General features: G+C 42.1%; 1 protein-coding gene and 1 pseudogene across 13 annotated transcripts in view; both read left to right on the forward strand.

Moving 5' to 3' along the window:
* Positions 1-16,556, forward strand: part of SASH1 (SAM and SH3 domain containing 1) — a 358,577-nt gene that overhangs the window by 272,345 nt on the left and 69,676 nt on the right. For all 13 annotated transcript variants that reach the window (XM_017010599.2, XM_024446384.2, XM_017010600.2 and 10 more), the window contains 3 exons: positions 2,733-2,773; positions 5,605-5,691; positions 8,298-8,410. In XM_017010599.2, the coding sequence (XP_016866088.1) occupies positions 2,733-2,773; positions 5,605-5,691; positions 8,298-8,410 (241 nt within the window). The remainder of the gene's footprint in view (positions 1-2,732; positions 2,774-5,604; positions 5,692-8,297; positions 8,411-16,556) is intronic.
* CYP51A1P3 (cytochrome P450 family 51 subfamily A member 1 pseudogene 3) lies at positions 13,539-14,252 on the forward strand (annotated as a pseudogene).

A 16,556-nucleotide genomic window follows, 5' to 3' on the forward strand; every position in this document is an offset into this window, starting at 1 on the left:
CCAACTAGCTTGCTCTTATTTTGCTCCCACTTCTCCCGTGGCCCTGAGCATGTTACATTTGCTGCTTCTCTTCCTCATTCTTCTCCTCCCCTTCCCCCTCGTCATTTCTTATGCTTTTTTGTTCCTGTCTCCCTCCGTCTCTAACCTGTGGCTCCCCTTCCTTCGTGTTCATCCATGTACCTTACTTGTGCGTTGTTCAGTACATTTTGGCTGAAAGATTTAAATTTTGAAATGGCTACCTCCTAAAAGCCTTGCAGGTAAATACAGGTATTTTCATTTTTGTGTGGATAGGAGGAAGGAGAGTAGGTCCTAGCCATGTTTTGGCACAATTTGGTGATAAGTGAGATTTTCCTTACATGTTCTGTATTCACAGCACAGGAATAAGGGGAAATAACTAGAATTCAAAACTAGCTCTTGTCCTCTCTAGCGGTTTCTCCCCTGATTCTGTTCTTAGCTCCGACTCTCCCTTAGTTTACAATAGAAAGCTTTCAGATTTTTGTGCTGGTCATCAACAGTTCTCTGCACTCAGCCGTGGAGAATGGTGGTGCTTGCAGGGCATGGGCCTGCCACTCAGAAATGGCACCCAGTGGTCAGCCCACACCAGTGCAGCTACACCAAAGGGTGGTGGCTTATTAAAGGCTGCTCTGCGTGAAAAAGCCTCCCTCCCCTCTCTCTGGTCACCTTAGATTCTCAAGGTCCTTTTATCCAAAAGGTAGGCAGAAAATCACTTTAGGTGATTAGGATATTCAATTCTTCTTCCTCTGAATGAGACAGAGTCTCATTCAGTCACCCAGTTTGGAGGTCAGTGGTGTGATCATAGCTCACTACAACCTCGGACTCCTGGGCTCAAGTAGTCCTCCTGCTGCAGCCTCCTGAGTAGCTAGAACTAGCACTATAGATGCATGTCACCATACCCAGTTGAACTTTTTAGAAGTTTTTTTTTTAAAGAGACAGTGTCTCACTATGTTGCCCAGGCTGCTCTCCTCCTGCCTCAGCCTTTGCTCTAATTTTTTCAGTGTAACTCATACCTGGCCTCCCACTTTCTTGTCTTCCCTAGCCTTCAGATGCAAAAATCACCTCTTCCATCTTCCTTCCTGGTGGTGAACTTGTAGTGAAGATTCAGGTTTAAATCCCCCAAGTGTCTGTGTCTCTTCTGATGCAGGTGCCTTCTTTCTGGTTTCCCTTGGCTGTAAGCCCAAGGATACTGTATTTTCCTTCTGGGATTTGGACACACCTAATGAAAGATTTTGCTCCACACTCTACTGTTCCCTGTTCCTTTTTTTTTTTTTTTTTTTTTTTTTGGTGATACAGTTTCACTCTGTTGCCCAGTCTGGAGTGCAATGGTGCGATCTTGGCTCACTTCAACCTCTGCCTCCCAGATTCAAGCAATTCTCCTGCCTCAGCCTCCCGAGTAGCTAGGATTACAGGCCTGTGCCACCACGCCTAGCTAATTTTTGTATTTTTAGTAGAGACGGAGCTTTGCCATGTTGTCCAGTCTGGTCTCAAACTCCTGACCTCAAGTGATCTGCCCACCTCGTTCCCTTTTTGATACAACCAATTTTAACTTTCTTTGGCTTTCCCGCTTTCTTTCTTTAAATTTTGTTTGTCTAAGTTTTTTTCTGGAGAAATGCTTAATGAACTGGTTTTGGGCTGTGCACACTTTTCAGATTATTTGGGTTAATCTGTATCTGCCTTCACAAACTGGCAGCCAAAGGTGTTGGGGTGGGAGGCAAATTCGATGCCCAGACATGTATTGATTAATTTGGACACATGTTTAAAAACATTGGTTTCTTTACCATCACTTAAAAATGTTAGAGCTCTTGTATAAAAATACAGATTTCTGGCTGGGCACAGTGGCTCACGCCTGTAATCCCAGCACTTTGGGGGGCCGAGGCAGGAGGATTGCATGAGGTCAGGAGTTCCAGACCATCCTGGCCAACATGGTGAAACCCCGTCTCTACTAAAAATACAAAAATTAGCCAGGCGTGATGGCGCATACCTGTAATCTCAGCTACTTGGGAGGCTGAGACAGGAGAATCGCTTGAACCCAGGAGGCGGAGGTTGCAGTGAGCCAAGATCATGCCACTGTACTCCAGCTTGGACTACAGAGCAAGACTGTCTCAAAAAAAAAAATGCAGATTTCTGTCTTCTTTTTGAACATTGGAAGATTCAGCAGGATGGACATTGCACTTGCCAATTGGCAGCAACCAACTGGAGGAACTGTGTACTGGCCGCCCCCTTTATTAGGGACACTCAATATCCTGTTGTGGGTGTCTCACCCGCCTCCCTGCCCCCTTTGTTTTCCTAGAGCCGACCACTGTACTCATCTGTGGGCCCAAGTGGCATTTGTGGTGCTGAGTTTATGTTTTCATTATTATTTGCTTTCTCTTTTCCTCTTACACAAGAGACTTCCCAATGGCAGTAACTTCACTTGTATTAGTAGTTCACAGAATGAAAGGTACTTCAGTGATCGTCTAGTGAAGTCTGTCTTCTTCATTTAATATTACAGGTCTCACCTTCGAGTGAGTCTTTAATAAATGTCGACAAATGGCACACGAGTCTATTTCTAGGAAGTCAGCAGATGGGTAGAAAAAGCCAGTGGTAAATAGCCTATAACAATTTCCCTGGCTGTATTAAGTAGTATTGATGCTGGGTCAAACTAGTTAGGAGGATTTTCAGTTCTCCCATGAAAGCAAGGCTCTCTGGTAATCTGATTTGTTTTTCTTTTCTAGGAACCCTCTTCATAAATCAAACTCAGAAGACAGCTCTGTAGGTCAGTACCACTTTTCTTGGTTTACCTATTTAATTATTTCAATACTTTATAGAAAACACGAATATGTGAAAATACAAAACCCACAAGAATCCTTCTACTCAGAAATAAACACTGTTAAGATTTTGATGTACATCCTTATTCTCCTTTTTCTAGGCAGTTTTAAAAAAATATAATTGTGATCATATTCTGCATACTGTTTTATAGTTTTTAACTTGAATATGTTATGAGCATTTTCCCATGACTGAATATTCTCTACGTTAATACAGAAAAATTAGAAGCAACCTAAATATCCAGCAAAGAATGAATTGGTTAATTAGCTTATGGCACATCCAATATGGTGGAATATTATGCAGACTTAAAAATTTACTGCTGCTATAAAAATCCTGGGGTCTGTGTCCCTAATAATGTCCTTAGGATAAATCCTTCAATTTGGAATTTTTTGGATCCAAGATTATGCATAATTAAGGCATTGTATGTTTTATATATTCTTGATTATAAAATTCACTCTTGGTTTAGTAACAGCTATTTTGTTTGGGTCACAGGGTGGGTGGCTGATAGTGATTAGGAACATTAAGTACTCAATCAACCCTGGCTGCCTGACTTTGAATATGCCGACCCAATAGCTATCACCTTGTGCAGCTCACTTGCACCAAGCCTCAGTTTTCTCATCTGCTAGGTGGGAACAATGATGTGTCATATAATTGAGTATTAAATGAAATCTTGCCATTAGATAGCTAAGTGCCTGGATATAGTAGCTGAATAAATGTTAGCTATTACCATTTATTAGGCTGCATCTCTGTTTCAGAAACATGAAAATGGGAGAAGGGAGAAGGGAATATAGCTTATAGTCAAAGAAATATATTGTCAGCCTGTGCAGTGGCTCACTTCTCTTATCCCAGCAATTTGGGAGGCCAAGGAGGGAGAATTACTTGAGCCCAGGAGTTCGAGACTGACCTGGGCAACATAGCAAGATGCTTTCTCTACCAAAAATTTAAAAATTAGGTGGGCATAGCACCATGTACCTGTAGTCCCAGCTACTTGGGAGGCTGAGGTGGGCGGATCCCTTGAGCCCAAGAGTTTGAGGCTACAGTGAGCTGTGATTGCACCACTGCACTCCAGCTTGGACAAAGAGACCATGTCTCTTAAAAAGAAAATAAATAGGCCGGACGTGGTGGCTCACATCTGTAATCCCAGCACTTTGGGAGGCCGAGGAGGGTGGATGACGAGATCAGGAGTTCGAGACCAGCCTGGCCAATATGTCGAAACCTCATCTCTACTAAGAATACAAAAATTAGCTGGGCGTGGTGGCTCCTGCCTGCAATCCCAGCTATTCAGGAGGCTGAGGCAGGAGAATCACCTGAACCCAGGAAGCAGAGGTTGTAGTGAGCCAAGATTGCACCGCTGCACTCCAGCCTGGGCGACAGAGCAAGACTCTGTCTCACTAAAAAAAAAAAAAGAAAGAAAAAGAAAGAAAAGAAAAAAGAAAGAAAATGAATATTCCCGAACTGTCCAAGAGCAAGATTGAGTTAATAATAACTAGTCTGCTTTAACCCTGCATGTCTGACATTTGCTTCAGTGTTAAGCCCAAAGGCAGTGGGTGATACAAAACTTGCCATGAAGCTCTGTCTTTGGCGGAAAGGCTCGGGTTTCATTCCCACAGCTCTGGGGGCTGTCAAAACTTAAATGTGAGGGCATCCTGTTTTGACAGACGACGCCCTTTCTAGCCTGGGAGCACCAAAGACATGGTTCCCACACGTCTGCTTCATTGCTTGGCACCACCAGTCTAGACTGGGGAAACCCATCACTTCGCTGGGCCCTGTTTCCAGTGGCCATGGAGCAACCAGACAGACAACAAGTGGTGACAGAGCTGCTATTTTGAATGTGCCACATCAGCACGATGGCAGACACCGCTGCTGCTGCTTTTTATTTGTAAAGAATAAAGGACTGCTCTACCCACTCATTTTACTTACTCTCCCCTTTCGCTTTGCTTTTAAAAAGGTATTACGTGTTATCAATGATCGGAACCCTACCACATATTAAAAATGTCTAGCTATAGCAGCGAATTTGTTTTCACTTGAAAGTCACCGCAGTCATCTGGAAAGGATCGGGGGTGCGGTGGGTAGAGGGAGACCCATTTGGGAGATGACACAGCGGGATTGCAGTCTTGCTTGTCTTTGTGCCCTGGGTAAGCTGTAGGTGGGTCACCAGGTAGCCTGAATGCCAGGGAGTGCCATAAGCATGCCATAGCAAGACCCGTGCAGACCACACTTCTGAGAGTAACACTGGGGGCCAGACCCAGAGAACCAGGGGACCAACTCCCCTGACCTGTGGGCCCAGGACATACCAACCATTCTCTTCTTGTTGTTAAATCTGGAATAACAGAAATAAACCAAGGGTAGATCAACAACAGAAATAACAACAAAACCAAGTGAACTTCTTAAAATACCCTATTTGTGGTGTAGTTGAAATAATTGTGGCTAAGACCAAAGGGGGGAAATATACTGCAAGACGAGGCCAAATTAGGCATACTAGTTAAACAAACATCAAAGTAAACACAAGAATGCATGTTCTGCCTTCCTTTTTGATGTTTCCGTTTCTCCTCTTAACCTCACTGCACCGTTTCTTGCTACTAGGAAATTTGCATTTCTTTTAAACAACTTTATAGGCATCTCCCATTCTTTCACTAACTGAAAGAAAAAACTGTCCTTTTGTGAAATCAAAGTATTCCTACCAGCTTTGAATTACAAGGAAGAGGCTACTTTTGTTATTAATGATGAATTTATTGCTTGTGCTTTTTGTTCTTTTTTTTTTTTTTTTTTTTTTTTTTTAAGGAAAAGGAGACTGGAAGAAGAAAAATAAGTATTTCTGGCAGAACTTCCGAAAGAACCAGAAAGGAATAATGAGACAGACTTCAAAAGGTACTGCAATGCAGCTGGCGGACAGTAGGTCCTTTTAGCTCTAACATGGGAAGAATCCTATGCGGCTAATCTCAGTGGATGCTATAAGTTAGCGTAACTCACCGCATGTGCCCATAAGATGTTCAACTTTTCTGACATTTCTGTTATTACTTTAAGACTTTGTTCCAGTGATTTTCTTTTGTTTTAAGTCAAAGAAAACAAAAGGGGACAAGTTCACAGTTCTTTCCTTTCATAGATCTGACAGCAGAGGCCGAAACTTTCGTTTCCTCAGTTGCACCAACCTCAGAAAGATCTTTACTCTTCTCTCGTCAAGATCTAGCCTGAAAGGGCCTAGAGAGCCCTAGCATGTGTTGGTTTGGGGCTCTCCTGTCCGCGTTCCCACTGAGATCCTTTGCATTCTTCTGAACTTCTGATGCTCTTCTGCAGCGGGACGGTTATGGGGTGTTGCCCCTGGAAACTCCAGTGGTCTGACATCATGGGAATTTGCCCGGGCGGCTTTGTGAAGGGAGTTCTGCCCTACTCTTGGCTGTGTCTTTTGTTGTTGTTTATATAGTAAGTAAATATATCATCCCTTTGAGGCTCAGTTACATAATTTATGTTTCCCCAGTATTCAGAGAAGAAACCAGAACAAATCCACTTCCAGATTCCAGTCCAGCTGAATGAGGTTATCAGTAGATTAAAAAGTTTTCCTTGATCACCAGTGACACTGCTTGCTTTCCTTTACAAAATCTTAGTGTCCTGTGCTGTGTGGAACGTCTGTCTAATTATCAGTACGCGTGGAAATGAGAAAAACGGATGTGAACAGCAGACACGTCACAGCACACCTGGGTTCCTTGGCAACATTCCACTTGGTTCTTTTTTCAAGTTGTCCTACTTTTAAGCATTCCCAGTTTTTTGTATTCACCCAGCGTCACTTGTGATTCAAAATAAACCTTGGATTCTAAAAAAAAAAAAAACAGTCTAAAGCTAAGGGAAAGGGAGAGGTACAGAGGGAGAGGGAGGGAAGGAGGAAGCCAACAGTTTACCAGCTAATGTGGATTTTTAAAGAACCCAACCAACTCCCCATCACCCACTCTGCCATTTGCGGTGACACAGATAGTAAAATGAATCAACCCAGCAGGCTTCTCTCTTCACCCAGCACACGCTATTATTCTCCCTGTGCAAGTAGCAAAGGGAACTTGAGGGAACTTGAGGAGTATTTTTGGATTGATTGATTACAAAATGGAAATTAGATGGAAATACAGGGCAACATAAATTCCAAAGTCAGCCGTGCCTGAAATGGTTTCCTACAAGTCTACAGGCAGACTCTTTCCCTCTGTCTCTTACACCAAAGGCAAATTAAGCCACAGCCGGGGGCATCCTAACGATATTGGAAGCTGGTAAAAAGTATGAATGAGAAAGATGGGGAGGAGAGCAGGGTGTGGGACTGGAGTGGGGATGTTAAAGCTCATGTTCAGTAACATGTCCTTCCCCACACGCTGACCAGAGGCACCATTGCCCAATGTGGCTCAGATATACCAGAGGCAATAGCAGTCTGTTTGCTCTGTAGGAAAATCTTTGGAATCTAATGGGACATTCTCTTCTCTGAGGTTCTAGCTGCCTTCAGGTGCGAGTTGGAAGTTGATTTTCCCTCAGTTTGGAAACCAATTTATGACAATAATACTTTCAGATACAGACCTATATGGCACCCTTCTTCTGATTAACTCAACATGCTTCATGTCTGTGATTTGCACTTAGCATTTTTTATTTATTTATTTTTTTTGTCTTCAGATGGAGTCTTGCTCTGTCACGTAGGCTGGAGTGCAGTGGTGTGATCTTGGCTCACTGCAACCTTCACCTCCCGGGTTCAAAGCAATTCTCCTGCTTCAGTCTCCTGAGTGTCTGGGATTACAGGTGCCTGCCACCATGCCCGGCTAATTTCTGTATTTTTAGTGGAGATGGGGTTTCACCTTGTTGGCCAGGCTGGTCTCGAACTCCTAACCTCAAGTGATCCACCTGCCTTGGCCTCCCAAAGTGCTGGGATTACAGGCATGAGCCACTGTGCCCGGTGCACTTAGTTTTGAGGAATAATAACAGTGAAATAGCTTAGTAGGAATGGAAGGTTTTGCCAGGTCTGAACTCTGTGACCTTCCTCTGTCATGACCTAGGATTCTTTCCCACTTCTTTGCAAAAATATTTTCTTCTCATTTGTATTGCTAATGGAAGGACACAAAGAACCCACAGCTGAAGGAGCCTTGGAATGCTTGTATGATCCAGTTGGGTGTGTAAATTAGATCTTTACTCCACCTATAGCGAGGATCTCTCTCTCACTTTCCTCCAAAACCCATCCACTGGGTACTCTATCTCAAAGGCTCTGATCATCTTGAAGGATTTGTTTCTATGGTGACACCCACGTGTTCTGCAAGCCTGTTTCTCAATCAGAGGTGCTTATTGGCTTCTTAAAAAGCAGCATATTTTTGCCACCCTTTGCTTCATCAGTAACGTTCAACATACATAGTGTCCTGAGCAACATTCTTCTCTAGCCCGAGACAGCAGATGTTCCGCATTGACGTTCTGTTTCGCCATTCTTGTTTTCACTCCTGTTGTTCTTTGTCCTCAATCTCCAGGAGAAGACGTTGGTTATGTTGCCAGTGAAATAACGATGAGCGATGAGGAGCGGATTCAGCTAATGATGATGGTCAAAGAAAAGATGATCACAATTGAGGAAGCACTTGCTAGGGTAAGCATGCAGATACCTGGTTTATATTTGTGAGGACTTGACTTTCTGAAGTGTAAAAATGTTTGCGGCCAACAAGGGGTATAGGAATCAGGTACCCATGTTGTCAGATAAAATATTTATTCTGTTTACTTGATACAAACATTCTACTTTGTGAGGTGAAACTTCTATGGTCAATGAAAACGTGAATGAATGAATGGCAAATATTTTTGATCTGTGGACCACATTAATGAGGAAAATGGCCTTCTGAATGCAGCTGCAAAATTCACAAGCCTTTTGAAAAGAATGTAATCAGTAGTAAAAGATCAATTATTAAATAAAAATCAAATGTACTAAAAACATTGTAAACATCAGGATTTTTTGTTTTTTTGAGATAGGGTCTCACTATGTTGCCCAGACTGTAGTGCAGTGGTGCAATCACAACTCACAGCAGCCTCAACCTCCTGGGTCCAAGTAATCCTCCCATGTCAGCCTCCTGAGTAGCTGGGACCACAGGTGTGTGACACCACACCTACCTAGTTTTTAAATTTTTTACAGAGACAGGGTCTCTTCATGTTGCCCAGGCTGGTCTCAAACCCGTGGGCTCAAGTGATCCTCTCACCTCGGCCTCCCAACATGTTGGAATTACAGGCATAAGCAAGCGCACCTGGCCTATAAATATCGGTTCTATAAGATGCCTTCACAAACTGAATTTTGAATAATCTAAAGGTTATACTTACTTTCATATCCAAGTAAATATTAATTGCAATTTATTGTGTTTGTTTTTTGTTTTTATTACTTCCCCCTGAGTTAAGTTAGGCACTACAAGAAGCCTAATTAACCTTTAGTATACTAGAGCAGCATTTATGATAGTAAGGCAGCAATTTATTAAGAGATTCCCTGCTTTGTTGTTGAACAACAAACCCATTGATTCTTGAATTTTCACTTTGAACAGTTGGTTCAGTACTGTGCAGATAAGTCCCAAATAAACAGGTTTAGAAATTGACAAAAACCTTCAAATCACCAAGGAACCATTGAATGAGTTAAGACTTTACCATTGTCTTGGTCCATTTTGTGCTGCTGTAACAGAATACCACAGACTGGGTAATTCATCAAGAACAGGAATTTATTGGCGCATAGCTCTGGAGGCTGGGAAATCTAATGTCAAGGGGCCCCAGCAGGTTTGGTGTCTGGTGAGACTGTGCTCTTCTAAGATGACACCTTGTACACCACATGATCTGCAGGGGAGGAAGGCTAGATGCTTATAAGCCAGAAGGAGGAATGCCAAGAAGCTAAAGGGGGCAAACTTGCCCTTTGATAATGACGGTAATGCTACCCTATCACCTCCCAAAGTTTCACCTCTTAACACCGCCACAACAACTACCAAATTCTCACCATGACCTTGGGGAGAAACAAACATTCAACACATAGAAACCGTAACATTCAACCTATAGCAACCATTGAGTGGAACCTTAAAGGTCTGAAACCTTGAAACAATGGCACACATATACTCAGTTTAGTTTAATATACAGTAGTTCCCTCTTACATGCAAGGGATATGTTCTGAGACCCCCAGTGGATGCCTGAAACTGCAGATGGTACCAAACCCTATACATACTATGTATGTTTTTTCTTATGTTCCTATGCATACATATCCATGGTAGAGTTTAATCTATAAATTAGGTATAATAAAAAATTAACAACAATAAAAATAAAATAGAGCAATTACAACAATATCCTATAATAAAAGTTATGTGACAAAGATGTCCATTTTCACTACTGTTATTCCACATAGTACTGAAAGTCCTAGCTATAGCAATCAGGCAAGAGAGAGAAATAAAAGAGAACCAAAGATTCCACTGAAAAACTATTAGAACTGATAAGTAAAGTTGCAGGCTACAAAATCAACACATACATTTCTGTGTATGTGTTCAGCAACAAATACTCTGAAAAGAAATCAAGAAAGTAATCCCATTTATAGTAGCCACAAATAAAATACCTAAGAATAAACTCAACCAAAGAAGTGAAAGCTCTCTATAATGAAAACAATAAAACATTGATGCAAGAAAAGGACACCAAAAAAAAAAAAAAAAAAAGGAAAGCTATTCCCTGTTCACGGATTAGAAGAATCAATATCATTAAAATGGCTATGCTACCCAAAGCAATCTACAGATTCAGTGCAATCCATACCAAAATACCAGTGACATGCTTCACAGAATTAGAAGAAATGATCTTACACTTTGGGAGGCCGAGGCGGACAGATCACTTGAGATCAGGAGTTCGGGACCAACCTGGCCAACATGGTGAAACCCCGTCTCCACTAAAAATACAAAAATTAGCCAGGCGTGGTGGCACGTGTCTGTAGCAAGCTACTTGGAAGGCTGAAGCAGAAGAATAGCTTGAATCGGGGAGGCGGAGGTCGCAGTAAGCCAAGATCATGCCGTTGAACTCCAACGTGGGCGAGAGTGAGAATCCATCCCCCCCAACCCCCAAAAAAAGGAAGAAGAAAAAATAATCTTAAAATTTGTATTGAACCACAGAATACCTAGAACAGCCAAAGCCACCCTGAGCAAAAAGAACAAAACTGGGGGAATAACATTAACTGACTTCAAATCTATACTACGGAGCTGTAGTAACCAAAACAGCATGGTACTGGCATAAAAACAGACATATAGACCAATGGAATAGAATAGAGAGCCCGGAAATAAACCCGTGCATCTGCAGTGAACTCACTTTCAACAAAGGTGCCAAGAATATACAATGGGGAAAGAACAATCTCTTCAATAAATGGTGCTGGGAAAATTGGATATTCATAGGCAGAAGAATGAAACTAGACCCCTCTCTCTTGCCATATAGAAAAATCTAATCAAAATGGATTAAAAACAAATCTTTAAGACTCAACTATGAAACTAGTAAAAGGAAAACATTGAGGAAATTCTCCAGGACACCGGACTGGGCAAAAATTTCTTGAGTGATATCCTAAAAGTACAGGCAGCTAAAACAAAAATGGACAAATGGGATTACATCATGTTAAAATGCTTCTGCACAGCAAACAAAGCAATAGGCAAAGTGAAAAGACAACCCACATACTGGGAGAAAATATTTGCAAACTAACCGTCTGACAAAGGATTAATAAACAATATATGTGGAACTCAAACAACTCAATAGGAAAAAAAATCCAATAATCTAATTTAAAAAATAGAGAAAGTATCTGAATAGACATTTCTCAGAAGAAGACAAAGGGAAAACAGACATGTGAAAAGGTGCTCAACATTATTGGTCATCAGAGACATGCAAATCAAAACTACAGTAAGATATCATCTCACCCCAATTAAAATGGCTTTGTGGGATGGAGTCTCACTCTGTCGCCCAGGCTGGAATGCAGTGGCGAGATCTCGGCTCACTGCGACCTCCGCCTCCTGGGTTCAAGTGATTCTCCTGCATCGGCGTCCCGAATAGCTGGGATCACAGGTGCCTGCCACCACACCTGGCTAATTTTTTTTTTTTTTTTTTTTTTTGAGATGGAGTCTTGCTCTGTCGCCCAGGTTGGAGTGCAATGGTGCAATCTTGGATCAGTGCAACCTCCACCTCCCAGGTTCCAGCAATTCTCCTGCCTCAGCCTCCCGAGAAGCTGGGATTACAGGTCCCACCACCATGCCTGGCTAATTTTTGTATTTTTAGTAGAGACAGTGTTTCACCATGTTGGCCAGGCTGGTCTCGAACTCCTGACCTCAGGTGATCCACCCGCCTCGGCCTCCCAAAGTGTTGTGATTACGGGCATGAGTCACTGTGCCTGGCCTAAAATGGCTTTTATCCAAAAGACAGGCAATAACAAATGCTGTTAAGGATATGGAGAAAGGGGGACCCTCATATATTGTTGATGGGAATGTAAATTATTACAGCCACTATGGAGAACAGTATGGAGGTTCCTCACAATACAAAAAAATAGAACTACCATATGATGCAGCAATCCCACTGCTAGTATCTACCCAAAAGAAGGGAAGTAAGCATAGAGCTATCTGCACTCTCATGTTTATTGCAGTGCTGTTGACGATCGCCAAGACTTGGAAGCAACCTAAGTGTCCATCAACAGATGAATGGATAAAGAAAATGTGGTACATATACACGGTGGAACACTACCCAGCCATAAAAAAGAATGAGTCTCTGTCATTTACAACAACATGGATAGAATTGGAGGACATTATATTAAGTGAAATAATCCAGGCACAGAAAGTCAAACTGCACAAGTTCTCACTCATTTGTGGGAGGTAAAAATTAAAACAATTGAACTGATGGAGATAGAGAGTAGAATGATGGTTACCAGAGCCTGGGGATGGTAGTGAGGAGGTGAGGGGAAGTATGGATGGTTAATGGGTACGAAAGTATAGTTAGAAAGAATGAATAACATCTAGGATTTGCTAGCACAACAGGGTGACTACAGTCAACAATAATATATTGTACATTTAAAAATAACTAAAAGATTATAATTGGAATGCTGGGCTTAGTGCAGATGAGCAGGTCGGCGCTGGGGCAGCTGGTGGAGTGGGTGGCAGGTGAAAGTGACAGCCTCCTGTCCATGCTGCTCATCTCCTGCGCCTTCATTCTCAGCCTGGTCTGCTTTGCCACAATAGTAACCACCTGGCCTAGCTGCCAGCTGGTGCAAAATGCTCATCATATGTTTTCTCTCCCATTACATTCCTTGGGCATGCCATACATTTGGGAAAAGTTAAATTGAATTTCTAGAAAGTGCATATGAGAAGTATGGGCATATGAGAAGTATGGACCTGTATGTAGTTTTTCTGTGGTGAGCAAGACATTTACTCCTGGAGAGAGATGAGACTGCACTACTTTTTTTTTTTTTTTTTTTTTGAGACGGAGTTTTGCCCTTTCAGCCAGGCTGGAGTGAAGTAGCATGATCTTGGCTCACTGCAGCCTCCACCTCCTGGGTTCAAGCGATTCTCCTGCCTCAGCCTCCCAAGTAGCTGGGATTATAGGCGCCTGCCACCACGCCCGGCTAATTTTTGTATTTTTAGTAGAGATGGGGTTTTACCATGTTGGCCAGTGTGGTCTCAAACTCCTGACCTCATGTGATCCACCTGCCTTGGTCTCCCAAAGTGCTAGGATTATAGGCCTGAGCCACTGCGTCCAGCCGACTGCACCACTTTTTAATAGTAAAACCAAAGATGCAGAAGATGTCTACAGTCATCTCAGGACACCTGCGTTTGGGAAGGGAGTTGAATGTGACATGCCTAATCCAGCGTTCTTGGGGCAAGAGAAAATGTTAAAAAGTAGCCTTAAAGTAGCCCACTTTAGACAGCAAGTTTCTATAACTGAAAAAGAAAGGAATACTTTCAAGCTGGGGAGAAAGCAGAGAAAAAAATTGTGTGAAGCTCTTTCTGAGCTCATAATTTGATAGCTAGCCATGGTTTACATGGAAAGGAAATCAGAAGTCAACTCAGTAAGAGGTGGCACAGCTGTGCGCAGATGTGAGTGGCGGCTTCAAGCCTTTGGCCTGGCTGCGGCCACGTTGGCTGCCTCTGCGTGGTTGCAGAAGCAGCTACAAAGCTCATTGAGAGCACAACTATTGTCTGTAAGGCAACCCAGAAACACAGAAACCAGAAGAAAAAATCCAAGGCATTCTCCAAACTTTACTGGATACTACAGACAAGGGTGAGCACCTGTTGGCAGATGAGGAAGTCACAGGGCTGCTTATTAGACTGTTCTCAGGGCAGCATACATCCTCAACTACTGGTGCCTAAATGAGCTGCTTTGTAGCCAGAGATGAAACACTTCATGAAAAATGTTATTTGAAGCAGAAAACTGTCCGTGGAGAGGATCTACCTTCTTTAACTTATGACCTGCTCAAGATTGAAACTCCCCAGCAATTTAGGAGGCCGAGGCAGGCAGATCACCTGATGAGGTTAGAAGTTCAAGACCAGTCTGGCCAACATGATGAAACCCCGTCTCTAATAAAAATACAAAATTAGCCAGACGTGGTGGCACGCACGTGTAATCCCAGCTACATGGGAAGCTGAGGCAGGAGAATCGCGGAGGCAGAGGTTGCAGTGAGCCGAGATCGCACCATTGCACTCTAGCCTGGGCAAACAGAGCAAAACTCCATCTTAAAAAAAAAAAAAAAAAAAGAAAGATTGAAACTTATTTAATCACCGTACAGAGAAAGTTAAGACTTAGACTTCCTGTATTGACTATATTGAGAATGGCTAAACTGCCTCAGAGGGTGTGATAGGACGTACCATTCCTGCAGGCCACCAAATGGGTTTATCTCTCACTGTCAATCAAGGATTTCAAGACACTTGGGTGGAGCTTGTGGATCCTGATCAGTGATTACAGGACATCTCAACAGGAGAGAAGATGGTCTTGGAGGCGGGCGTCATCATATTGGGAAAAATTTTGCCCATGTTCAGATCAAGACAGTTTGGTCCACTCTGTTTCATTTGTATGAATTTGATTTCATTGATGGATATTTTCCCACTGTAAATTATAAAACCGTGGTTCATCACACCCCTAAAAACCCAGTTATCACATACAAATGAAGATCAAAATGAAAAAGGCTACAAAGAACTAATATGTGAAACATTACCGTAAGCTGAAAAATCACTGGAAAAGAATGAAATTTACAAAACAAACCTCAGTGTACTGTCTTTTTTAGTGTAATTTTAAAAGATAGCTTAAGTTAGGATTTCGATATTTTATTTACTGAATGCTTTCATCCCATCTAATGGCATTAACAGACATTTTCTAATAGCTTTATGATGGATAATTAACACATATGCTTTAAGGAAGTCGAGCTCATTAGTAAAAATGTTGCTTAGGGAGATCTAGGTCATCGGCAGATTTTAAATAACAATTTCTGTGTACTGGGATACCTCAGAGGTATTGCAGGTTTGCCATCAGACCACTGCAGTAAAGGGAATATTGCAGTAAAGTGAGTCACATAAATTTGTTGGTGTTCTCAAAAAAATAGTTTCTGGATTTAATATAAGACGCACCTCCTTATCTCTTCATAGAACTGAAAAGAGTTAGGGCCTTGCTCTGGATTCGGCGTTGGCTTACGAGAGTGTTGTGGCTGTTCTGATCTTCTACGCAGACCATTCAAACTTTCTCCATGTCAGCAATAAGGCTGTTCCATTTTCTTATCATTTGTGTGTCCAGTGGAGTAGCACTTTTCGTTTCCTTTGAGAACTTTTCCTTTGCATTCCCAACTTAACTGTTGGATGCAAAAGGCCTCGCTTTTAGCTTACCCTGGCTTTCAACGTGCCCTCCTCACTAAGCTTAATCATTCCTAGCTTTTGATTTAAAGTGAGAAGCATGCTACTCTTCCTTACAATTTAAGGCACAGAGGCGATTGCAGGGTTATTAATTGGCCTAATTTAAATATGTTGTGTCTCAGGAAATGGGGAGGCTTGAGCAGGAGGGAGAGAGATGGGAGAATGGCCGGTCAGTGGAGCCGTCAGAACACACATATTTATCCATTAAGTTCACTATCTTATATGTTTAGGTTCATGGCTCCCCAAAACAATTACAATATTAACATCCAAGGTCACGGATCACAGGTCACCATAACAGATGTAATAAGAATGAAAAAGTTTGAAATACTGTAGGAATTGCCAAAATGTGACAACAGGGACTCAGAGTGAGCCTGTGCTGTTAGAAAAATGGCACTGATAAACTCGTTCGATGCAGGGCTGCCACAAACCTTCAGTTTGTAAAATGCAGTTTCTGTGATGTGCAGTGAAGTGAAGCTCAGTAAAATGAGGTGCGGCTGTACCAATTTTAAGGGCTTACATAGCTCTTGGCAAGTAAGTTCAGGACATTCAATCTTTTACTAATTCCATAAGATGTAGAAAGCCCATACTTGGAAGCTATAGGTTATTCATTTATGTGAGTAATTTGTTTGTTGGAGGGTGGAAGATAAGAGGGAAGGGAATACACTCATGTTTAAAGCCTTGGATAAAAAAGAATAGTAGTAAATGTATTGGAATGATAATACTCAGCATTGATGAGTGATATTGTAGAAAAATATGTCCTTTGCCATTTTAACTGGAAGCACTGTCTATATGAAATTGAGAGAGATCTATGACCGTGATTTAATAATCACATTTCCTTAAAAATAATTATTTATACTAAAGACTGCTCAAGTCAATGTGATC

The sequence above is a fragment of the Homo sapiens genome, chromosome 6 (genome assembly GCF_000001405.40).
Source record: "Homo sapiens chromosome 6, GRCh38.p14 Primary Assembly".
Taxonomy (NCBI): domain Eukaryota; kingdom Metazoa; phylum Chordata; class Mammalia; order Primates; family Hominidae; genus Homo; species Homo sapiens.